Source organism: Homo sapiens, chromosome 1, assembly GCF_000001405.40.
Source record: "Homo sapiens chromosome 1, GRCh38.p14 Primary Assembly".
NCBI lineage: Eukaryota > Metazoa > Chordata > Mammalia > Primates > Hominidae > Homo > Homo sapiens.
Window position 1 is genome coordinate 22,051,212 of NC_000001.11, and position 24,690 is coordinate 22,075,901.

At 44.6% G+C, this 24,690-nt stretch overlaps 1 protein-coding gene and 1 pseudogene across 3 annotated transcripts in view, besides 8 other annotated features; one reads left to right on the plus strand and one right to left on the minus strand.

Moving 5' to 3' along the window:
• Positions 1,498-24,690, plus strand: part of CDC42 (cell division cycle 42) — a 48,652-nt gene continuing 25,459 nt past the window's right edge. For 2 of the 3 annotated variants that reach the window (NM_001791.4, NM_044472.3), the window contains exon 1: positions 1,498-1,531. The gene's annotated coding sequence lies outside the window, so the exon portion shown is untranslated. Of the gene's footprint in view, positions 1,532-22,882; positions 23,009-24,690 lie in introns of all 3 variants that reach the window. The other variant, NM_001039802.2, reaches the window with a different exon arrangement.
• Positions 1,587-1,736: a silencer, noted in NCBI's record as "silent region_394". NCBI's record gives its function as "represses an Ori minimal core promoter by ATAC-STARR-seq in GM12878 lymphoblastoid cells {active_cell/tissue: GM12878}" and the evidence as "EXISTENCE:reporter gene assay evidence [ECO:0000049][PMID:35858748]".
• Positions 1,797-2,016: a silencer, noted in NCBI's record as "silent region_395". NCBI's record gives its function as "represses an Ori minimal core promoter by ATAC-STARR-seq in GM12878 lymphoblastoid cells {active_cell/tissue: GM12878}" and the evidence as "EXISTENCE:reporter gene assay evidence [ECO:0000049][PMID:35858748]".
• Positions 1,797-2,486: a biological region, named in NCBI's record as "H3K27ac hESC enhancer GRCh37_chr1:22379623-22380190".
• Positions 1,919-2,486: an enhancer, noted in NCBI's record as "H3K27ac hESC enhancer chr1:22379623-22380190 (GRCh37/hg19 assembly coordinates)". NCBI's record gives its function as "activates a minimal SCP1, AML or CMV promoter by ChIP-STARR-seq in naive and primed H9 embryonic stem cells {active_cell/tissue: H9 hESC(naive and primed)}" and the evidence as "EXISTENCE:reporter gene assay evidence [ECO:0000049][PMID:30033119]".
• Positions 2,027-2,206: a silencer, noted in NCBI's record as "silent region_396". NCBI's record gives its function as "represses an Ori minimal core promoter by ATAC-STARR-seq in GM12878 lymphoblastoid cells {active_cell/tissue: GM12878}" and the evidence as "EXISTENCE:reporter gene assay evidence [ECO:0000049][PMID:35858748]".
• Positions 2,487-3,055: an enhancer, noted in NCBI's record as "H3K27ac-H3K4me1 hESC enhancer chr1:22380191-22380759 (GRCh37/hg19 assembly coordinates)". NCBI's record gives its function as "activates a minimal SCP1, AML or CMV promoter by ChIP-STARR-seq in primed H9 embryonic stem cells {active_cell/tissue: H9 hESC(primed)}" and the evidence as "EXISTENCE:reporter gene assay evidence [ECO:0000049][PMID:30033119]".
• Positions 10,116-10,616: an enhancer, noted in NCBI's record as "H3K4me1 hESC enhancer chr1:22387820-22388320 (GRCh37/hg19 assembly coordinates)". NCBI's record gives its function as "activates a minimal SCP1, AML or CMV promoter by ChIP-STARR-seq in primed H9 embryonic stem cells {active_cell/tissue: H9 hESC(primed)}" and the evidence as "EXISTENCE:reporter gene assay evidence [ECO:0000049][PMID:30033119]".
• Positions 10,617-11,117: an enhancer, noted in NCBI's record as "H3K4me1 hESC enhancer chr1:22388321-22388821 (GRCh37/hg19 assembly coordinates)". NCBI's record gives its function as "activates a minimal SCP1, AML or CMV promoter by ChIP-STARR-seq in primed H9 embryonic stem cells {active_cell/tissue: H9 hESC(primed)}" and the evidence as "EXISTENCE:reporter gene assay evidence [ECO:0000049][PMID:30033119]".
• Positions 16,877-17,628, minus strand: MPHOSPH6P1 (MPHOSPH6 pseudogene 1; annotated as a pseudogene).

Consider the following 24,690-nt stretch of genomic DNA (forward strand, 5'->3'; position numbering starts at 1 on the left):
TTTTGTATTTTTAGTAGAGGCGGGGTTTCACCGTGTTAGCCAGGATGGTCTCGATCTCCTGACCTCGTGATCCGCCCGCCTTGGCCTCCCAAAGTGCTGCGATTACAGGCATGAGCCACCGTGCCCGGCCTAGGATAAGCAATTTAAGCGATTTTTCTCTAACATGGGGAAACATCTAAGAATAAGAGAGGGAAGTTCTCTATTTTCCTGAAGCTTTCATACTAGCAGAGAAGACAAATAATAGATACTGCGAAGATAGGATGATTGAAGAATGCAGTGATATAAATTTGGGGGAAGAGGAGGGAGGCAGAGCAAAGAAATTCAAGGCCTTGGCCAGACGTAATGTCTCACACCTTGTAATCCCAGCAGTTTGGGAGGCTGAGGCAGGCTGATAGCTTGTGTCCAGGAGTTCGAGACCAGCCTGGGCAATCCAGCAAAACCCTGTGTCTACAAAAAAATACAAAAATTAGCCAGGCATGGTGGCATGCGCCTGTGGTCCCAGCTACTTGGGAGGCTGAGGTGGGAGAATCGCCGGGACGTCGAGATTGCAGTGAGCTGAGATCGTGCCACTGCACTCCTGCCTGGGTGACAGAGCAAGAACGTCTCAAAGAAAAAACAACAACAACAACAACAACAACAACAACAAAAACACAAGGCCTGTGGTTGGGGGAAGGTTGTAACTCTAAAAAAGACCCATGTGGCTACAGCGAGGGACACTGGGTGTAGGTAGAGATAAGAAGAGTGATACTCAGTTCTCACATCACGGCGGACTGAATACAGGCCCGGGGAGTGAGAGACCATCCACCCCTGTGATCTGGGGCAAGTCACCAGCCCTTTCAGAGAAGCTTCCGTCTTCTCTGCAAAATGGGACAATACCTTGCTTCACAAGCTTGCAAGGATCAAAAGAACTGGTAGTGGGCCGGGCGCGGTGGTTCACGCCCGTAATCCCAGCACTTTGGGAGGTCGAGGCAGGTGGATCACTTACTTGAGGTCACGGGTTCGAGACCAGCCTGGGCAAAATGGTGAAACCCCGTGTCTGCTAAAAATACAAACATTAGCCTGGCGTGGTGGCAGGTGCCAGTGATCCCAGCTACTCGGGAGGCAGAGGCAGGAGGATCGCTTGAACCCAAGGGGTGGAGGTTGCAGTGAGCTGAGATCGCGCGCTGCACTCCAGTCTGGGCAACAGATCAAGACTGTCTCAGAAAAAACAAACAAAAAAGAACTGGTAGAGGAAGCGCTTTGCATACTATCGTTCACAGTATTATTACAAATACAACCATTAGGAAAACATGCAGAGCATAGCCCCGAACTCACGAGCTGCGCCGGCCCGCGCGTGCGCGACAGGCGGGCGGAGCCAGGGCAGTCCAGGCACCGCCTTGACCCGCCCCAGCCTCTTCCCCTTCCCTGTTCCTCCCACTTCCGCGGGCACCCAACTGTGCGTCTCCTGCGCGCTGACGTCAGGTGCGTGCCCCTGTCCGGCAGCCGAGGAGACCCCGCGCAGTGCTGCCAACGCCCCGGTGGAGAAGCTGAGGTGAGTGCGGGGCCCGAGGTTCCCCGCGGGAGCTGCCACCCTACCTTCCCATCCCCGCCGTCTCCGTCCTCTCCCAGTCCTCGGGGACACCCCGTCTGCGGGATCGTGGGGGGCCCGGGAGCACGGGTTGTGGGGGAGTGCCCGGCTCGCGCTGCGTCCTCCGGGCGGGCGCGGGTCCGCGTTCTGTGGGGGAGCCGGGGCGGGGGTCGCGGCCGGGGAGGCAGGGGGCGCCCGTCTGAGGAGGGGCGCGCGGCCGGGGCTCGGGGCGCGAGCGGGACCGGGCTGTCACCGGCAGCGGCGGAAGGAAGGGGGTCACACCCATCCTGGGCGCCCGGGCTCCCCTCCCCCCAGCCCGGCCCGGCGGGCTCCTAAGGGCGGCCGGGGGCCTCAGAGCGACTCGCGGGCGCTTGGGCCGGGCCGGGCGCCGGTCTTCCGTGCTGGCAGGCTGCGTTCCGTGCCCTGCGCTCCGGCCTGGACTTCCTGCTTCGCCGGGCGCCGCCGCGGACATTTTGCGGCGGGGGTGGGGGGGCGGGGGAGGGGAGTGGCGTTGCGGCCGCGGCGGGGCGGTGGCAGGAGGGCAGCTCGCTGGCTGCTCGCGGCGGTGCCTGTCCGAGCTCCCCTCCGCGCCGGCCGCGTCCTCTGGGCGGGGTGGCCCCGAGCCACGGCCTCCAGGCTGCTCTTCCTTTCGGAGGTCGAGTTCCTAGCATTTCCATCCGCTCCTCCAGCCCGCTCCCTGCCGGTTTAGCTGAAGCTTCCCTTTCGGGGAGTTACCTAACTACCTCCCGAAGCCGTCGTTCTGCTGCTTGGTTAATTCCTCTTATCGGGGGGGAATTTTCTTTGTTCGTTTGTTTTTCCTCCCCTTTAAGTCCAAGATAAATGTAGTGTGGAAGATTACGTCATCGCGGTATAAGGAGTGAGACTTAACTCCTACAAGTCAGGGACTTAAATTCAAACAGCATTTTGCAGCCTTAGTCGGTCACCCAGTGGCTTATCCTGCCTGCTTCCCAACACGTCGTATTCACAGATGATGTTTTGAAAGCTTGTTACTTGTGTTCATGACCGCCTTCAGTGCACCTAAAAGCTAGGAAGGTTTAAAATCCCAGGATTAGTTTGTGTCAGGGAATAAAGTGTAAGACAACACCGTCCACGGCCCCTTGCGTGGCATTAACTTTAAATAGAGGTCCCTTTGACTATACTAGAATGAGGTGGGTTTATTTGTGGGAACACTTTTCGGTCCAAAATGACTTTCCCAGACTGTTTATTCTCCTTTATGACTTACTGCATGCTGGGAATCTCCCTAGGTTGATTCAAGTGCACTTTTTGTGGTGAAGTTGTGTTGAAAAGAGGATCAGTTTATGCCTGATCTATGCTAGACATTTTAGTTTTGTTATTAAAAACGAGACTTCGATCTTTAAGCAAAAAACTTAATATTTTCATAATTTTGAGATCACAATTTTTATTTTTTTTGAGACAGGGTCTCAAAGACGTTACTAAATATAATGGATATTGCACTCCCAGGCTGCAGTGCAGTGGCGCGATCTTGGCCCACCGCAGCCTCCGCCTCCCGGGGTCAAGTGAGCCTCCCACCTCAGCCTCCCGAGTAGCTGGTACTGCAGGCATGTACCACCATGCCCCGCTAATTTTTGTATTTTTTGTACAGACAGGGTTTCGCCATGTTGCCCAGGCTGGTCTCGGACTCCTGGGGTCAAGCAGAGATCACAATTTTTGTTCCCTAGGGTGTTTACATTCTAAATTTTGTATCCTTCCGCGACTGCAATAGTATCACACAAAAATGTTGACTCTGTAAAGCAAATGAGATCCAATTGTGTAATGCATTGTTGTAAAGATAATTCATGTCGAAACAAGTGCTTTCCCACTGTTTCTCATTTCTATAGAGAACAGATTGGTAAACACTTAAAAGGAGTGTAGGTTCAAGGCAGCTTTCTGTAGTGTGTAGGCATTACAGACCATTGGATAGGTGTGGAACTTGAATCTTCTGAAATACATTTGTTAGCCTTGATGTAATATTTTAGGCATATAAAATTGGAACACATCTGCCTTATTTTCTTGAGCTTTCTATTTTTAATAATTTTAAATAATATCAATTTGTATCTTTCCTTTTAGAAAGTAACAGTAGTTTGAATTTATGTATATATATATATATATATATATATATATATTTTTTTTTTTTTTTTTTTTTTTTTTTTTTTTTTTTTTTTTTTTTTTTTTGAGAAGGAGTCTCGCTCTGTCTCCCAGGCTGGAGTGCAGTGGCGCAATCTCAGCTCACTGCAAGCTCCGCCTCCCAGGTTCACACCATTCTCCTGCCTCAGCCTCCCGAACAGCTGGGACTACAGGCGCCCGCCACCACGCCCGGCTAATTTTTTGTATTTTTAGTAGAGACGGGGTTTCACGGTGTTAGCCAGGATAGTCTTGATCTCCTGACCTCGTGATCCGCCCGCCTCGTCCCCGCAAAGTGCTGAGATTACAGGCGTGAGCCACCGTGCCCGGCCTGAATTTATAGTTTTTATACTGAGATGGAGATAAGAGTTTGGTAATCAACTAAGTATTGAATGAGCTCGTTTTCAGTAATTTCTTCAAGACCAGAAAGGTATCACATCCTCTGTTTATACTCTTAAAATGTTTTCATGTTACAACCAATACCTGTCCGTATTAAACTTAATTTTTTGGGAATCTAAGGCAGATGTTATAGCCTAGAGTAGTATAGGGAGTTAAAAAAAAAATTGGTGATTTTTTTTTTTTTTTTGGAGACAGGGTCTTACTCTGTCGCCCAGGCTAGAGTGCAGTGGTGTGATCACAGCTCACTGCAGCCTCGGCCTCCCAGGCTCAACTGATCCTTCCACCTCAGCCTCTGCAGTAGCTGGGACTACGGTGCATGCAACCAGACCCGGCTAATTTTGGTATCTTTTGTAGAGATCGGGTTTCCTCATGTTGTCCAGGCTGATCTGGAATGCCTGAACTCAAGCTATTTGCTCCTGTTGGCCTCTGAAAGTGCTGGGATATAGGCATGAGCTGCTGTGCCGCTGACAGGCTTTCTTGGAAGTAAAAGACTAGTTGTGCTTTTATTTATAGATGTATTTTAAATGCACTTCTCTATTGTTTTAGAGTTTTTTTTTTTTTTTTTTTGAGAGGATGAGAAACAATGAGCACCTTAGGCTACAGGGCTTCCTTTGAAGGGGAGAGAGGGTTAAATATTGTGTTAACATATCTTCCATGAAAATATCTCTCTGTATTAAAAGGCTTCATTCTGGAATTTTATGGTAATGCCTTATTCAGTGTTCTCTTCCACATAGATTTCCTCATTAGATTGTAAGTTCTGTGAGGGCAGGGCTTTGGCCTGGCATGGTCACCCCATTGCTAATGCCTAGAATACTGCCATACATACAGTAGGTTTTAAGAAATATTTTTTAAGTGAATGAATTTGATGATGTCTGAGGGTTAACGTTTTCCCTAATATTCCATGGGCCTTTTTGCTGTGTTTCCTGAGACAGCTTTTGTGCTTGGTCAGCCATATCTTTATTTGGGCTCATTGAAGTAGTGATTACTAATCTACTCTTGCTTGACTTTTTCCATCTGTTTAGGTCAGTATCTTCTGCAGCTGCACTGTCTGGACAATTTACCATCACTTAGAAAATCTGTGATGACTACTAGTTCTCTTACTCTCCTAAAAATTATTCACTTAATGTTTGTTTCCTTATCTTCCTTTATTTCTTTGTTTGCAAATAACTTTTACCGCTTGTTCACTACTGTATCAGATTCCTGGTCATGTTATGCTTTGTGTCTTACTAGTTTCTACTTTTAGTTTCTCATACCTTCAGTCCAAAATATTTTTACTAAAGCAATTTTCATTACTTGCCATTTCAGCTACCTCTGCTGCTGCTGCTGCTATTTTAAGTCCTGAATGTCAAAACTCTTCTGGGACATTGATCTCAAACTGCTTATTCCGTGAAGTGAAACCAGGCTTTCTGCCACCAATGTGGCGTCCCTTTTTGCAATTTTAGAAAAATATTTTTTAAATCAAAGATTTGGCATTAGCCATTATACTAAAGTCCAGAACAATTTCTAATAGAGCAGAAAACTATATTGTTCAGCCATGGTATTCACTAAGCACTGGTGCTCTATCACCTTAAGACAAAGTCTGATTTAGGCTCTGTTACTGTTGTTCTGTAATGCTTTACACTTTAACCTTGCATCCTTTTCTGTAAAATTAAGCCATTGCCATTTGCCATTTCAATTCTGCTGTGTGTTCTTGATTGGTATATTGCTACTATAATGATTAAAAGCATAGACTCTGGAACCAGACTGCCTGGGTTCAGATCCTGGTTCTGCCACTTATTAGGTATGTGCAGTCTAAGTAACGTCTTTGTGACTCAGGTTTACTTCCTCTAAAATAGGGGTAGCAGTAGTGCTTACCTAACAGGGCTGCAGTGTTAGGAAGATTGAATTAATATATATGAAGTGTTTAGGACTGTTCACTGGCACATAGTGAGTGCTGTATAGATTTTTGCTCTTGGCACAACTGTGAGGACCCTTCCCCGCCATCTTTGAGAAGCTGTGTTTCTCTCAAACATAAACATTTTAATAACCATCCTTCTCCCGGACTAATCTGATGAATCCAAAAACATTTCTTTTTTCTTTTTTGAGATGGAGTTTTGCTCTTGTTGCCCAGGCTGGAGTGCAATGGCGCGATCTCGGCTCACCGCAACCTCCGCCTCCTGGATTCAAGTAATTTTCCTGCCTCGGCCTCTTGAGTAGCTGGGATTGCAGGCATGCGTCAGCGCCCCTGGCTAATTTTGTATTTTTCGTAGAGATGGGGTTTCTCTATGTTGGTCAGGCTGGTCTCCAACTCCTGACCTCAGGTGATCCGCCCGTCTCGGCCTCTCAAAGTACTGGGATTACAGGCATAAGCCACTATGTCTAGCCCAAAAACATTTCTAAATGAAGTGGAGATTGCTTTACCTTTTTTTTTTCTTTTTTTTTTGAGACAGAGTCTCGCTCTGTCACCCAGGCTGGAGTGCAGTGGCATGATCTTGGCTCACTGCAACCTCTGCCTCCCGGGTTCAAGTGATTCTCCTGCTTCGGCCTCCTGAGTAGCTGGGATTACAGGTGTCCGCCACCACACCCGGGTAATTTTCGTATTTTTAGTAGAGGTGGGGGGGTTTCACCATGTTGGTCAGGCTGGTCTGTAACTCCTGACCTCACGTGATCTGCCTGCCTCGGCCTCCCAAAGTGCTGGAATTAACAGGCGTGAGCCGCTGCATTCCGGCCTCCTTTACATTTTTATCCGTTACCTTTACCGTTGTCATAGAAGCAAGGGTGTCAGGCCTCAGGTATGCAGTATAGTCTGTGGACCCATCAGCATAAGTGTCACCTGGGAGCTCATTAGAACTATCAGGATTCATCCCAGTCTTACTGACCCAGAATCTTATTTTAATAAGATCCCCACATGATTTTTATGTGTATTAAGGCTTGAAGCACCCTCTTCAGGACTGCTAGAGTGATGTCTCAAATTTCGGAAACAATGTGAATGCTTTATTTCATTTTATTTTCCTATGGAAGCATAACCTGGTTTATTTTAGGCAGTGTACCACAATTTATTGCAAGGATCATAATCTGAAAATGAATCTGAAGCATATTTAGTTTTTAAAGGAATTGTTGCTTCCTGCCTATTACGTAGAATTGCCTCATGTCTGCCCATTATCAGGAACTAATGTGTTATTTAAAGTTTTTTTTTTTTTTGAGATGGAGTTTTGCCCTTGTTGCCCAGGCTGGAGTGCAATGGCATGATCTCCACTCACTGCAACCTCCACCTCCCGGGTTCAAGTGATTCTCCTGCCTCAACCTCCCGAGTAGCTGGGATTACAGGCATGTGCCAGCATGCCTGGCTGATCTTGTATTTTTAGTAGAGATGGGGTTTCTCCATGTTGGGAGTTTCTCCATGCTGGTCAGGCTGGTCTCAAACTCCCGACCTCAGGTGATCCACCCACCTTGGCCTCCCATAGTGCTGGGATTACAGGCGTGAACCACCGCACCCAGCCGAATTACGTATTTTTTAATTTTATTTTTATTTTTTAGAGATAGAGTCTTGCTATGTCACCAGGCTGCAGTGCGTGGTGTGATTATAGCTCACTGTAACCTTGAACTCCTGGGCTTAAAGGATCCTCCAACCTCAGCCTCCCAAGTAGCTGGGATTGCAGGCACGCACCACCACACTTGGCTAATTGTAAATATATATATATATTTTTGTAGAGAATGGGGCCTTTTTATGTTGCCCAGGTTGTTCTTGAACTCCTGGCCTCAAGTGACCTCCCACCTTGGCCTCCCAGAGCTGTGGGATTACAGTTGTGAGCCTCTGCACCGGGCCTTAATTTTTTTTTTTTTTGAGACGGAGTTTTGCTCTTGTTGCCCAGGCTGGAGTGCAATGGCGCAATCTCGGCTCACCGCAACCTCCGCCTCCCAGGTTCAAGTGATTCTCCTGCCTCCACCTCCCTAGTAGCTGGGATTACAGGCATGTGCCACCACAGCACGGGGCCTTAATTATACATTTGAACTTAAGTGACATTTTATTGAAAACTAATTGTGGTGACGAGGAATGGTCTAAGCATATGATTAGGATAATTCATATTCATTATGAAAACTTAGGTGAAATACAGACTTGGCATTTAGCTTGTCAAATGTAAACATGTTTTCTGCTTTCTTTGCTAAAATCATATTTCCAATTTCAAGGGAAAATGTTAAGAACCAAAATCATCTTTTTCAGCTACCCGCCTGAAAAAATTATTGCTATTTTTCTTTTCTTTTTTTTGAGAATTCTCGCTCTGTTGCCCAGGCTGGAGTGCAGTGGTACGATCTTGGCTCACTGCAACCTTGCCTCCCAGGTTCAAGCGATTCTCTTGCCTCAGCCTCCCAAGTAGCTGGGATTACAGGCGCACACCACCATGCCTGGCTAATTTTTGTATTTTTAGTAGAGACGGGGTTTCACTATGTTGGACAGGATGGTCTTGAACTTCTGACCTCAGGTGATCCGCCTGCCTTGGCCTCCCAAAGTGCTGGGATTACAGGCGTGAGCCACGGCTCCCAGCCTGTTATTTTTCAAGGGCCAGATTGAATTTATTTCTCTGATATTTCCTTTTTCCTTCTTTAACTATATGGTGTAGGAGAAATTCTCCAGGACTATCCCTGAGAGCTGGGGGATCAGTGTCTCAGGAACACCTGTGTTTATTACCTGTGTCCATTCTCTGTGTCTTAAGTGGCCATTTGAAGCCATCTACGTCCTTTTCAATTGAAAGATTATCAGTAGGCTGGGTGCGGTGGCTCATGCTTGTAATCCCAGCACTTTGGGAGGCTGAGGCAGGCAGATCACCTGAGGGCTGGAGTTCAAGACCAACCTGGCCAACATGGTGAAACCCCGTCTTTACTAAAAATACAAAAATTAGCCATGGTGGCATGCACCTGTAATCCCAGCTACTTGAGAGGCTGAGGCACGAGAATCGCTTGAACCTGGGATGCAGAGGCTGCAGTGAGCGGGGATGCACCACTGTTCTCCAGCCTGGGTGACAGCTGAGACTCCGTCTCAAAAAATTAAAAAAAAAAAAGATTATTGCAATTCATTACTCCATGTGGAAGGAGGAGAGGTGTCTGAGAACAGATCAAATGAGGAACAGATGATTAAACCAGAGGGAGATGGAGGTGGAATAAAAGAATATTATGTTAATTAGTGTTAAGGGGTATGAGAAAAGAGGATAAATTTAGTAGAAGAAAGCATAAACAAGATTTCAGCTATGGTTCATTTGCTTTGCTGGAAGACAGTTTAGGAGTATTTGTAATATTTTTAGTTTGTTTTTAATCTATATAAAAGCAGATGAAGAGGAGTGGGAAGTGAAAGAATAATGTTACTTGAATAACACTTATCTCTGGTTTCAGGGATTTTCATTACAACTTTACTAGTATTTGTTTCATTAGCTGAATACTATTGGAGAAGAACTCAGTTTTAGATAAATTCTGAAATGGAATTAATACATTCATATCACTTGCTTGCCTAAAAAACATTTTTATTATAGGGTTTAAGATTAACAAGATTTTAAAATAAGTGATTAGATTTTAGAATGTGTAAAGTTTGGTTTATAACTTGAAAGGATAGTTCTATGGATATCAGTGTTTTTTTATTTTGCTATTTTATTCGTGCTGTTTATTTGCTCTGTTCATCATAGGGGCAAAGGAAATGTTAGATCATCCTAATAGTTGATAAGCTAGTAAAGATGAGGGTAGGGGATAATTTTAGAGTAAGGCCTGTGTGGCTTAGTGTGTTTCAGAATATCTGAAAGACATTTCCATGGGCTTGGGTGTCAGATAAATTAGAAACCCAGCCGGGCAGAGTGGCTCACGCCTGTAATCCCAGCACTTTGGGAGGCCATGGCGGGCGGATCACCTGAGGTCAGGAGTTCGAGACCAGCCTGGCCAACATGGTGAAACCCCGTCTCTACTAAAAATACAAAAAATTAGCCAGGTGTGGTGGCATGTGCCTGTAATCCCAGCTACTCAGGAGGCTGAGGCAGGAGAATCGCTTGAACCCGGGAGGTGGAGGTTTCAGTGAGCCGAGATTGCACCACTGCACTTCAGTCTGAGTAACAAGAGCAAAACTCTGTCTCAGGAAAAAAAAAAAAAAAGAAACCCTTTATTATATCTTCATCCTGGAAATCATAATGTATATAAGTTTATTTTAAAGGGTTAGGGAAGTTAGACGGTCAATCAGTTTAACTTCATGTTTCTTTCTTTTTTTTTTTTTTTTTTTTTTTTTTTTTGAGATGGAGTCTTGCTCTATCAGCCAGGCTGTAGTGCAGTGGCATGATCTTGGCTCACTGCCACCTCTGCCTCCCGGGTTCAAGCAATTCTCCTGCCTCACCCTCCTGAGTAGCTGGGATTACAGGTGCCCGCCACCATGCCCGGCTAATTTTTGTATTTTTAGTGGAGATGTTGGCCATCTCCACTTTAGTGGAGACCGTGTTGGCCAGGCTGGTCTCGAACTCCTGACCTCAAGTGATCCGCCCCCTTCAGCCTCCCAAAGTGCTGGGATTACAGGCGTGAGCCACTGCGCCCGGCCTAACTTGATGTTTCTTAAACTTGTTTGATGACGTTTCATCCTCCCCATCACCCCTATGGAACACCCTTTTTTATTTTATTTATTTCTTTTTTTTGGAGAACGGATTCTTACTCTGTCACCCAGGCTGGAGTGCAGTGGCGTGATCTTGGCTCACTGCAACCTCTGCCTCCTGGGTTCAAGCAATTCTGCCTCAGCCTCCCGAGTAGCTGGGACTACAGGCATGTGCCACCATACCCAGCTAATTTTTGTATTTTTAGTAGACACGGGGTTTCACCACGTTGGCCAGGCTGGTCTCAAACTCCTGGCCTTAAATGATGTGCCTGCCTTGGCCTCCCAAAGTGTTGGGATTACAGGCGTGAGCCTCCATGCCTGGCTGTTTGACCCATTTAAAAAATGGCTTGTGGTTTATAAGACAAATTGTTTGAGAATCTGAATGTAGGTACTTCTACCTCATCAGCTAGAACAAAGAAAGTCTAAATAATCATAGTTTGTTTTGTAGTTGGCATCTCACCTCATAACTTTTAAAAGAAAGGTTCTGAATTTGTCACGTTTGCTGCCTAGGTAATGTAGTGACTTATTTTATGCTGCAAATGTCTGCTTGTTTAGGATTTCTGATATAGGCTGGCATGATTTCATTCTTGTAGACTTACGACCAAATTACTCTGTGCTGATTCTGAAAAGATTTGTCTTTTTGGTGCATGTATAAGAACATAAGTTGCCTGATCTTAAGAGTTTTTTTCTGATTGGGTATGGTGGCTCATGCCTGTAATCCCAGCAGTTTGGGAGACCTAGGTGGGAGGATTGCTTGAGGCCAGCAGTTTGAGACGAGCCTGGTAGCCTGGTCAACATAGTGAGACCGTGGCTCTATTTAAAAAAAAAAAAAAAAAAAAAAAAAAAAAAAAAAAGATTTTTTCCGAACTTATCCATTTGTCTATGGTACAAACCTATCCTCTAATTTTTCAAACCAAAAAACGTCTTTATAACTTTGTCCTTAAACACTCCACCTCCAACCTGATGACCTATTCTCTATTTCTATGCTACTACCGCAGGGCAGATCCTCCATTTCAATCTTAGATTATTACCCTAGTTTCTTAGCTGACTTCCTTGACTATCTGGTTGTCTTTGGCAGCCCACCTTGGAATACAGGCACAATATTGATACTCCTAAAACACTGTTCATGGATATGGAAGAAGTGACTGTTCTGCTTAGCTTTTAGAGTCTATATGACTTGGACTCATAGTTTTTTTTTGTTTGTTTCTTTTTTCCACTTTGCATGCTTGCTTGTGCCTTTTCTCCTGATACTCCTATCTAACTAGAGATTTATTTTCACATTATTTTAGATTACTCTCCCATGTTTACTCTGAAAATCTGTGGCACTCATATTTCATAGTGTAAAATTGTAGCAATCTGAGACTACTACAGTTGTTAGCCTCTTCTCCTTATAACCAGTAAAGTATACTAGATGATGTATGATGAACTTTCTAGCATAGAATTTGGTACAGAGTAGGCATTTAGTAAATTATTGAAATGTGTTAAAGGCCTTTGAAGGCAAGATTTCTGTTACCCAGTGTAATGCTGTAGTAGGCATTTAGATATCTTACTTAGATAACTTTTGTAATAAGTTAATAGGATTTCGTTCTTCCAAGAACCTACTCTATTTTAACAGATGTTTTAGGTCCTAACTTGTGTCCTAATTAGATAGAGAGGGTCTGTTAGGTGCTTGGGATCTTGTTCTTCAACTGCACACATACCAGCACAACTACTGTTAAATTTCTTTTGCGCTTTTTTCCCCTTTAGGACAAAAAAAGGATTTAACAGTTATGTGCTTTTAATAACATTGTATTACTTTGTTGGTAACCTTCACAACTTTTTTTTTTGAGACAGAGTCTTGCTCTTGTCATCCAGGCTGGAATGCAGTGATGCCATCATGGCTCACTGGAACCTTCGCCTCCCGGGTTCAAGTGATTCTTGTGCCTCAGCCTCCCGAGTAGCTGGGATTACAGGTGCGAGCCACCACACCGGCTACTTTTTGTATTTTTAGTAGAGATGGGGTTTTGCCATGTTGACCAGGCTGGTCTGGAACTCCTGACCTCTTATGATCTTCCTGCCTTGGCCTCCCAAAGTGCTGGGATTACAGGCGTGAGCCACTGCGCCAGGCCTTCACAGTCATCTTTAGTATGTATAACATTTCATCCTGTGGTGTATTATTACTTGTTTTTTTTTTGTTACATTAACTGTTTTGATGATACAGCATCTCATTGTTTCTTGATAAAGTATTTCCTTCTTTTTGGATAAATTACCTGAAGTGGAAATGTATGTGTAGGGCATTAAAAAAACAAAAAAACAAAAAACCTTGTGTTTTCCTAATATTTTGAGGGAAAATCTTACTGTAATCTTTCTTCCCTTCTAATCAAATACTCTTGTGAATGCTCTTTTTTTAAAATTTTTTGAGATAGAGTCTCGCTCTGTCACTCAAGCTGGAGTATAATGACATGATCTTGGCTCACCCACAGCCTCTGCCTCCTGGGTTCAAGGAGTTCTCCTGTCTCAGCCTCCTGTGTAGCTGGGAGTACAGGTGTGCATCATCGTGCCTGCTAATTTTTGTATTTTTAGTCGAGACGGGTTTTGCCATGTTGGCCAGGTTGGTGTGGAACTCCTGACCTCAGAAGATCTGCCTGCCTCGGCCTCCCAAAGTGCTGGGATCACAGGTGTGAGCCACTGCGCCTGGCCTTGTGAGTGCTCTTATTTTGTTTTCAGGGGTGTATAATTGACTTTCACTTTGATGGAGTTTAGAACACAGCCTGCTATAGAAGATTGCCTAGAGAAGATTCTTTTTTTTTTTTGAGAGTCTCACTCTGTTGCCCAGCCTGGAGTGCAGTGGCGCAATCTCACTGCAACCTCTGCCTCCGGGGTTCAAGCAATTCTCTGGCTTCAGCCTCCTGAGTAGCTGGGATTAAAGGCACTTGCCACCACGCTTGGCTAATTTTCATATTTTTAGTAGAGACAGGGTTTCACCATGTTGGTCAGGCTGGTCTCGAACTTGACCTCAGGTGATCCACCCACCTCGGCATTCTGGGATTACAGGCGTGCATTCTGGGATTACAGGCGTGAGCCACCGCTAAATTGCCTGCATATTTGGATTATTTCACGTTGATAGTAAGAGTTCATAGTTGAGTGTTAAGTGCTCTTTGCAGAGTGACTGACAACCTGTGATGGTGATACTATTGTCTCTGTTTTACAAAGGAAACGAGGCTTAAAAGAGTTTTAAGTAGCTTGCCCAAAATCACACAAGAATGGGAATCTGAGCTTTAGGGCTGCTTGATTGAAAGCATATGCCCTTTACTGCAACTCTGTCGTCTTCCTTGGGCATGTTAGAGACTTGAGAAATACTTGCTGTGTGATTAGGTTATTTCGTCTCTTAAAATAGGGCGAGGTGGTTTACAGCCCTTTCTGTAATATTTTGAATCTCTTGGCTACAAATGTGACACTTATTAAATTAAATTGCTCTTTGAGATTGGAATGAAGGGATTTCTGAAAGGATTGATAAAATTAGCAAATAACCCTCCCTAGGAGAAGCAAGGATTTTTCTGAGTTCCCTCTTATTCATGATATTTAGATGCTTTTACTTAACAACTGTTCTGACCTTTTTAGGGCTGTTTCTGCAGATTTTAATTTTGCGTAAGAATAAGGTGCCATATTAGGTATTTACTCTCTGCTAGGTGGTGTGTGTACCAGTTGCTTTATATACATTACCTCATTTCTCTGTAGTGGTCTTGTGAATTAGATGTCAATTTGTAGACGAGAAAGTTAAGGCATAGAAGTGAAGTAACTTGCCAGGATCGTACACATTGAGGTGGAGCTAAGATTGGAACCCATATTTGCTTGTCTTTAAAAATCTCGTCTTTTTTTGGGGGGCGGGGGAGGGGTCAGAGTCTCTGTCAACCAGGCTGGAGTGCAGTGGCATGATCTCAGCTCACTGCAACCTCCTCCCGGGTTCAAGCGATTCTCAAGCCTCAGCCTCCCGAGTAGCTGGGATTACAGGTGTGCGCCACCATGCCTGGCTAATTTTTTGTAGTTTTAGCAGAGACGGGATTTCACCATGTTGGCTAGGCTTGTCTTGAGCTGCTGACCTCAAATAATTGACCCACCTTGGCCTCCCAAAGTGTTGGGATTACAGGCCTCTGTGCCTGGGCGTTTTTTTCATATTACTACTTTAGTCAACAAAGTTGTAAAAGACATTTAAGAATTTTATTTTTTCTTGCCCTTAATATACTGTTCAGTATTGTATTGGCTGCATTGGGACGGGGAATAAAGAAGTATAAGCCTAGTTGTTCTCTCAGAGAGCTTAAAATCTATTAGAGGGGCTGGGTGAGGTGAGGTGGTGCATGCTTGTAGTCTCAGCTACTTGGGAGGCTGAGGCAGGAGAATCGCTTGAGCGTGGGAGGCAGACGTTGCAGTAAGCTGAAATTGCGCCACTGTGCTGCAGCTTAGGTGACAGAGTGATACCCTGTCTCCAAAAAAAAAAATCTATTAGAATAAAGTAAGCATATGTGACTAAAAATAACATGGTTAATTACTCCTGTGATTCATTTATTCGGTGAGTGTGTCCTGTGTGACTGGTATTGAGCTATTTTGTGGGCATACAGCAGTTATTACCTTTATGGAGATTTCCTTATTTTTAAAAGTCTGTTTCTACTGCCATATGACAGATAAACAAGATAATTATAGATTATGACCTTACAATAAAGGAAATAAGGTAATATGAAAGGAGTGTAAGGAGGGAGGGTACTATTGCCCTGGATAATGTGGTCAGGGGAGGACTTTTGGAGGAGATGATGATTCGAGCTGAGATCTGGAGAGTGAGAAGCCAAAAGCTTTAAGAGCAGGGGCAGGAGTGTTGTTGGTAAAGACTTCAAGGCATGGCCGGGTGCAGTGGCTCACACCTGTAATTCCAGAACTTTGGGAGGCCGAGGTGGGCGGATCACCTGAGGTTGGGAGTTTGAGACCAGCTTGACCAACATGGAGAAACCCCGTCTCTACTAAAAATACAAAATTAGCCGGGTGTGGTGGCACATGCCTGTAATTCCAGCTACTCAGGAAGTTGAGGCTGGAAAATCGCTTGAACCTGGGAGGCGGAGGTTGTGGTGAGCAGAGATTGGGCCAAAAAAGACCTGAAGGCAGGACAGAGCCTGGCACGTCTGGGGAGGTAAGAGACCTGTGTAGCTAGAGCATGGAGAGTACAGGGGAACGGAGCATGAGAAGGTTTGAGAAGGCAAGAAGAAGGGCCTTGCCATGGGTTCTGTTTAGTCCGTTTAGGCTTCTTTAACAATACCATAGACTGGGTAGCTTGTAAACGACAGAAACTTATCACAGTTCTGCATCCTGGGAAGGACAATATTGGGGTGCTGGCGTATTTGATGTTTGGTGAGGGCCTGCTTTGTGGTTCATAGATGCTGGTTTTTTCTTTTCTTCTTTTTCTTTTTTTGACGGTCTCACTCTGTTTCCCAGGCTGGAGTGCAGTGGTGATCTTAGCTCACTCCCACCTCCGCCTCCCAAGTTCGCTTTGGTGCTCTCAGCTCACTGCAACCTCTACCTCCCAAGCAAGCGATCCTCCTGAGTAGCTGGGGTTACAGGCATGCGCCACCGGCTAATTTTTGTATTTTTAGTGGAGACAGGGTTTCACCAAGTTGGCCAGGCTGGTCTCGAACGCCTGACCTCAGATGATCCGCCTGCCTCGGCCTCTCAATGTGCTGGGTTTACAGGCCTGAGCCACTGCGCCCATACCAGTTTGTTCCTTTTTGCTGTGTCTTCTTGCATGGTGCAAGGGGTAGGGGAGCTCTCTGGGGTGTCTTATAAGGCCACTAATCCCATTTGGGGATGAGGGGACTCTGCCCTCTGGACCTAATCACCTCCCAGCAGTCTCACCTTCTAACAACGTCACACTGGTGATCAGGTGTCAGCTTATGAATTTTGGGACACAAACATAGCAGGTGGTCAGGCGGTTGGGGCAGTTTCAATACCTAGACTAGTTAGGAAAGGTCTCAGAGAAGGAGAGGTTTTGTAGTGGAAGGGTAGCTTGAAAATAGGGTGAGTTGTAAGGCCAGACACCCAAGATTTGGCTGAGATGGGAGGATCCCTTGAGCCCAGGAAGGTTGACGCTGCAGTGAGCTGTGATTGAGCCACTCCACTCTGGCCTAGGTGACAGGGTGAGACCCTGTCTCAAAAACAAAAAAAATCTTTAGGAAACCTGTATATTTGAAGATCAAGGGCTAAAAATCCACTCAGTACCATTTAGCAGAGGATGTATGACATCCATTACACATCTGTTTCAAAAACAGCATGTTTCCAAAATTATACATCTCTTTACAAATAAACGTTATAGTATTAATAACTATAGAGGCACCATCAGAACTAGTTACAAAACATGCTGCTAACTTTCACAAGGCATCTCTGAGCCATCTCTTAAGTTCTGTATTTTGATCCCGGGGCTTTAAGAACATTTTCTTTGCTTTAATTAGTTGTAGGTCTCCATTTTCATTGTCTTCATAATTGGCTTGATCTCCCTTTTTGGCAGACTTTTTTCCTGTTGTCCCCACCAAGGTCTCATATTCTAGCCATTTCTTCTAGCCATTTCTTCTTCATCTGACACGTAAAATTCCACTGTTTCATCTTCAATTTCTGCTTTGTTCTTAGTATTCACCTGAAGCACTAATTTCTCAACCTCAGGAGTAAATCTGATGAATGAAATTCCTTCCATAGAAATGATCTTCACATAACAAGAGATGCTGCTCTTCTGTTATGAAATTCTTTACTTATTAAGCTCTGGCAAATCTGAGTACCAGTGCTCTTAACTAATTTTATTTTCTTCCTCTTCTAGTCATTTCTTAGTTTCTGAGTCCAGTCTTCTTTGCATGAACTTCATGTACAGCAGGTTCTTGGAGAACTTGGTCTTGTGCTCAGGTGCCATGCTGGCTTCAGCTTGTGCTGTGTTCTGGCCACCTGCTGTTTCTTAGTTAAGAGACTAGAATGAGAAAGTTACATGTAAGGATGTCAGTTGGTAGTATTATTGAAGGAAGAATATGTAGGGGGTGATGCTTGTTTATTGTCTGTGTACCCCACTGGAATTGTTGCTCCAAGAGGGCGTGAACTTTGTTATGTGAATTGTGGGGTGTGCCTACGTATAGGACAAAGCTTGGCACGTGGTAGGTACTTAGTAAAGGCTTGTTGAATGAATGAGTAGATGAATGAGTAGATCTACAAGTCTTGAGTATTTTGAGGAAAACATCTTATTGTAATCTCCATTTTATTCCTTTTTTTTTTTTTTTTTTTTTTTTGAGACAGAATCTCACTCTGTCCCCAGGCTGGAGTGCAGTGGCACAATCACGGCTCATTGCAACCTCTGCCTCCTGGGTTCAAGCAATTCTCCTGCCTCACCCTCCCAAATAGCTGGGACTACAGGTGAGCGCCATCACACCTGGCAAATTTTTGTATTTTTGGTAGAGACTGGGTTTCACCATGTTGGCCAGATTGGTCTCGAACTCCTGACCTCAAGTGATCTGCCCGCCTCAGCTTCCCAAAGTGCTGGGATTATAGGCGTGAGCCACCACGCTTGGCCGAAACAGGGTCTTGTTCTCTTACCCAGGCTGGAGTGCAGTGGTGTGACTACAGCTCACTGTAGCCTTGACCTTCCTGGCTCAGGTGGTTTCTCCCCTCAGCCTCCCCAGTAGTTGGGACTACAGGCACATGCCACCACTTTTTTTTTTTTTTTTTTTTTTTTTTAATTTTTTGTAGAGATGGGATTTTGTCATGTTGCCCAAGCTGGTCTTGATTTGCTGGGCTCAAGTGATCCTCCTGCCTTGGCCTCCCAAAGTGTTGGGATTACAGGCGTGAGCCGCCACACCCAGCCTTGGTAGAGGTTTTTTTGTTTGTTTGTTTTTGTTGTTGTTGTTTTGAGATAGCATCTCCCTGTGTTGCCCAGGCTGGAGTGCAGTGGCATAATCTTGGCTTACTTGCAACCTCCGTCTCCTGGGCTCGGATGATCTTCAGCCTCCCAAGTAGCTGGGACCACAGGCGCATGCCACCATGCCCAGCTAATTTTTGTATTTTTGGTAGAGACGCAGTTTTGCCACGTTGCCTAGGTTGTTCTCAAACTCCTGGCCTCAAGCAATCCACCTTCCTTGGCTTCTCAAAGTGCTGGGATTGTAGGCTTGAGCCACTGTGCCCAGCCTCTGGGTAGGATTTTCTAAGCAATGTTGTATTCTTAATTGAACATGTAAAAAGTAAAGTAGAGATTCCTCTTCAAAGACTTCCCCCACATCTAATCAGAAATAAATAGTAACTTCTCTTAAAAGCAAAATTTATTCAAAGACCTTTGCTAACATTCTTAAATATCTGCTAGCTGTAATAAATAAATCAGTGTACTTTATGTTCTTAGCTCCCACAATTTAGCCTAAATATTTGCCCTGGCATGCTTATACTGGTCCAAGCAAGCATTAGGTCATAGCCTGTTTAAAGGTATTTTTACCTTTCTCAGCATTCCACAAGTTACTTCCTCCTTCCTTTGTTGTCCTCTGCCTTTGCCTCTTTTTTTTTTTTTTTTTTTTTTTTTTTTTTTTTTTTTTGAGACAGAGTCTCGCTCTGTTGCTCAGGCTGGAGTGCAGTGGCATGATCTTGGCTCACTACAAGCTCCGCCTCCTAGGTTCATGCCATTCTCCTGCCTCAGCCTCCCAGGTAGCTGGGACTACAGGCGTCCACCACCACGCCCAGCTGATTTTTTTGTATTTTTAACAGAGGCAGGGTTTCACTGTGTTAGCCAGGCTGGTCTTGATCTCTTGACCTCGTGATCCGCCTGCCTCGGCCTTCCAAAATGCTGGGATTACAGGCGTGAGCCACCACGCCTGGCCTTCTTTGCCTCTTTTTAAAAGTTGTAAGTTGCTAGCCTATCAGGACAAATACAAAACGTGAGGTCCCGTTCCAGCCAATAAAAACCGGACACAGCAGTAGGATAGACACGTCAGGTTATAAATGACCCTGTCTCCTTTGCTCGGTGTACTTTTGTGGCAAAACTGCTGGCAAGTGTATCCTTTCTGCAGAAGGTATAAATGGCCTTGCTGAGAAAATTAAATTTATGTTCAAGTGCTATTTCTTTACGGCACTGAGGAACAAGCATTTCTTTTTTTTTCTTTCTTTTTTTTTTTTTTTGAGATGGAGTCTCGCTCTGTTGCCCAGGCTGGAGTGCAGTGGCGCGGTCTCGGCTCACTGCAAGCTCTGCCTCACGGGTTCACGCCATTCTCCTGCCTCAGCCTCCCGAGTAGCTGGGACTACAGGCGCCTGCCACCACGCCCGGCTAATTTTTTTGTATTTTTAGTAGCGTCGGGGTTTCACCATGTTAGCCAGGATGGTCTCGATCTCCTGACCTCGTGATCCATCCGCCTCGGCCTCCCAAAGTGCTGGGATTACAGGTGTGAGCCACCGCACCCGGTCGGAACAAGCATTTCTAACAAACATATAAGGCCAGCTGTATGCTTTTTGTTACATGTCTTCTGTGATATAGAAGCAAACAAGAAGTTCTGCAAACAAGACAGTTTGTTAGCACACTTGCATACGTGTGTGAATGCATGGAATACATTGCTGTGGTTTGAGTACTTTTGGTTGCCTAAAAATCACATGCATGGGTAGGTGTTTAAAAAATTGTACGTTAGATATGCTACTATAACTTACAGCAGAAGGTTATATAAGCTGCATTTTCCAAAGTGGCTGGATTTGACAGGAGAGACAAGTAGTTTTGATTTTATTCTGTTTAATCCTACAACCAGACTAGTCCTTCTGTTGAACTGATAAGGAAGATTGTGAAATTGGGTCATTCTCTTGATTCCTGTAGTGCCTCTTCTTTCTTGTATCCTAAGTATGAAAATGGGTTACTTCAGGGGCAAACGTATTTCACATGAAGGCAACTTTACTTTTAGTGTGTTTTGGATTAGAGTGAATGTGGTGTCAGAAAAAGAAAATTCAGTTCTGATACTAACAGTTTAATTCTGATACTCCCACCCCACAGCTTAAGGGCTCAGTCTTGGAAGACTGCCCTCACTTTAGGCAGCAGCTACAAATGCAGTGCCTAGGCTACCTATACCTCTGCCCAGTAGACTACAAATTTTGGGATTCCCATGGCCCTTCTTAGGTTTGATTATTAGCTAGAACAACTCATAGAACTCAGGAAAACGTTTTACTTACCTTTTTTTTTTTTTTTTTTTTTTTTGGGATGGAGTCTCGCTCTGTTGCCCAGGCTGGAGTACAGTGGCGTGATCTCAGCTCACTGCAAGCTCTGCCTCCCAGGTTCATGCCATTCTCCTGCCTCAGCCTCCCGAGTAGCTGGAACTACAGGCGCCTGCCACCACGCCTGGCTAATTTTTTGTATTTTTAGTAGAGTCGGGGTTTCGCCATGTTAGCCAGAATGGTCTCGATCTCCTGACCTCATGATCTGCCCGCCTCGGCCTCCCAAAGTGCTGGGATTACAGGCTTGAACCACCGTGCCTGGCCGTTTTACTTACCTTTATGCCTTTGTCATAAAGGGTACAACTCACGAACAGCCAAATGGAAGAGATACATAGGGCACGGTTGTGGGTGGGGAGGGATTCAGGTGACCTGCTTTCCCCTCACCTTGAAATGTTCACAGACCTGGAAGCTCTCCAAATCTTCTGTTCTGGAGTTTTCATAGAGCTCAGTTTCTAGCCCTCCTCCCCTCTCTGGAGGTTGGTGCATGGGGCTGAAAGTTACATCCCTCTAGTCACTTTGCCTTTCTGGTGACCAGCCCCATCCTGAGGCTTCCTAGCATCCCTTCCACCGCCACCCTGTCACTTTATTAACATAAATTCAGGTGTGAATTTGTTATGAAAAACAAGAGACACTCAGCACTCAGGAAATTCCTAGGGTTTTTAGGAGCTCTCTGCTAGGAAGTGGGGACGGAAACCAAATATTGCCAAATATTTGGTGTATTACCAAAAATTTGACTTGCCTTTTATTCACAGTTACTATTAATACTTGACATAGTTTTAAAAGAGGTGTAATCTTATTGAGAATATAAATTTTTTGTAAAACTTACTAGCAAATATTTAATCTCAAATCTTAAGGTTGCTGTCTCTCTGTGCCTAGAATGAACCATGGGGCACGGGAAAATAGGGCATTTGTAGCTGGGAGTATCCCCTTCCTCCATACAGATCGTTTGCTCAGGGATTGTCTGGTGGAGTTTAGATGGCAGCCAGCCAATCATAATGATACCATAGAGAGGGTTCCATAACCTTTTAAAATCTGTAGTGTGTGGACTTAAAATTTCAGGTGCTATAGCTCTGAGATTCTTAAAGGATATTTGAATTCCCATAGTGTTAAGAACCTGGAAGAGGCCAGGTGCAATGGCTCGTGCCTGTAATCCCAGCACTTTGGGAGGCTGAGGTGGGTGGATCACCTGAGGTCAGGATTTTGAGACCAGCCTGGCCAATGTGGCGAAACCCCGTCTCTACTAAAAAAATACAAAAATTAGCCAGACATGGTGGTGCGTGCCTGTAATCCCAGCTACTTGGGAGGCTGAGGTGGGAGAATCGCTTGAACCCTGGAGGCGGAGGTTGCAGTGAGCCGAGATCACGCCATTGCACTCCAGCCTGGGTGACAGAGCAAAACTCTGTCTCAAAAAAAAAAAAAGAAAAATAAAAAACCTAGAAGATATGGGTATTGGAGGGGTAGATGCCAGGAAGGACAGAAGGAAGATATACCTTATTTCACAATTTTATTTCCTTATGATTGGCAGAATCATTTTAAAAAAAATATTTGAGACAGGGTCTTGCTCTGTCATCCAGCCTGGAGGGCAGTGGCACAATCATAGCCAACTGCAGCCTTGGACTCAAGCAATCCTCCCACCTCAGCCTCCCTGGTAACTGGGACTACAGGTGTGTGCCACTTCACCCAGCTAATTTTTTTTTTTGTAGAGATGGGGTCTCACTCTGTTTCCCAGGCTGGTCCCAAACTCCTGGGTTCAAGCAATCTCCCCACCTTGTCCCCCCAAAGTGCTGGGATTACAGGTGTGAGCCACCATGCCTGACCCTGCAGAATCATTTTTTATGCTGTAAGTTGCCCAACCCCAATTCTAAGTTGTGGTACAAATGAACTTCACTGTTAAAAAGAGGTAGGATTCAGTTATTGGTGCAAAATAACTTAGCTTTTCTTTTTCTTTCTTCTTTTTTGAGACGGAGTCTCACTGTGTTGCCCAGGCTGGAGTGCAGTGGCGCCATCTTGGCTCACTGCAGTGCGCCTCTGCCCCCCGAGTTCAAGCGATTCTCCTGCCTCAGGCTCCTGAGTAGCTGGGACTACAGGTGCGTGCCACCATGCCCAGCTAATTTTTTGTATTTTTAGTAGAGATGGGGTTTCACCGTGTTAGCCAGAATGGTCTCCATCTCCTGACCTTGTGATCTGCCTGCCTCGGCCTCCCAGAGTGCTGGGATTACAGGCATGAGGCACCGTGCCCAGCGCAGAATAACTTTTCTGGTTAGCAGAATGGTAATTGTTTCTATGTGGCCTCTTTGCTGCCGTAGTGATTTGACATTATTTAATAGGAGATTAACATAGGGTATATGAACATGTCTGACTTATATATATTGTAAAACCCAAAGTCTCTCCCCTGATTGCTCCCTTTACCCACCCCAATCTGTGGAGTATCTGGTGACATTAAGAAAAAAAATTAAGAAAAAAAGAAATAGAGGTCAGGTCTTAACTATGTTGCCCAGGCTGGTCTTGAACTCCTCAGCTCTAGTGATCTTCCCACTTTGGCCTCCCAAAGTGCAAGGATTACAGGTGAGCCACTGTGCTCTTTAATACATGTGTTAAAGGGCAAAACTACAACAAATTTAAATCTCACTTGGCTTTATTGTGATTTTAGAGTTGGGCAGTGTGCTTCATTCCACAAAACAGAGTTGAGCAGAAGAGGTTGGCTTAATAGAAGAGCTGAGGAAAGGGGAAGCAAAGAACAAAGGGCCTATTAGTTGTTTCAGAGCTACCTTTCTTGTAAGGCAGGGACAGGGAGAAGACAGAACAATAGAAAAATAACTGATTAGTTAATATCAGGTTACTTCAGGCTGCTTTTTTTTGTGTAAGGGTTAAAGCAGAGGGAACTTCATTATCATTCCAATTGAAGATTGAAAGTGGCCTGTTTGGTAAACTGGCTGTCATCTCTCCTGTTTCTCAGAAGGTCAGATAACAACTAAATTTAAGTTTAGTGATGTGAAACTTTAGCATGAGTAACTCCGTTTTGATTTTTAGTCTGGTCACTTGGGGCCTAGTGCAGGAGATTAGTCCACAACGGTAGCCTCCTATAGTTTTTATTTAACACATGAAACAATTATTAATACATGCCAAATGCTTTGCAGAATAGTCTTAATTAGAACTTGACTCTGAAATGACCATCTTTGTAATGGTAACTCTACATTTGACTACATTTGTGCTGAGAACAATTAGTATAATCTTCCCTTGATATTGCAGGGGATTGATTCCAGAACTCTCCAAGGATACAACAATCCTGGAATGCTCAAGTTTCTTATATAAAATTACATAGTACAGTTATCCATCTGTATCTGTGGGTTCTGCCTCTGTGTACATGGAGGGCTGACTGTACTGTAATTATCTTGGAGATAAAAAGTGTTATGAGTTCCTTTCTAAGAAGTTTGGAATTGCTGTTTTAAAATTCCTTATATTGACTTTAAAGTTACCATTACTTGTTAAAGACTAATAATTAACATGTACTAAGCATGTACTGTATGCCAAGCACTGTTGCAAGTTCTTTACATGTATTATCTTAGTTTACCTTATGAGAAAGGTAGTACTGTTTTCATTTTTAGAGAAGGGGAAACCAAGCTACACAGAGGTTGAATAACACAGAGGTTGAATAGCTAGAGTGTGGTAGAGCCACTCTGACTCCAGAACCCAGGCTTAACAGGGGACTCACAACCAACCAGTTTGTAACAAATTGCAGAGCAGTCAGGTCGGGAAGTCTAAGAAGTGG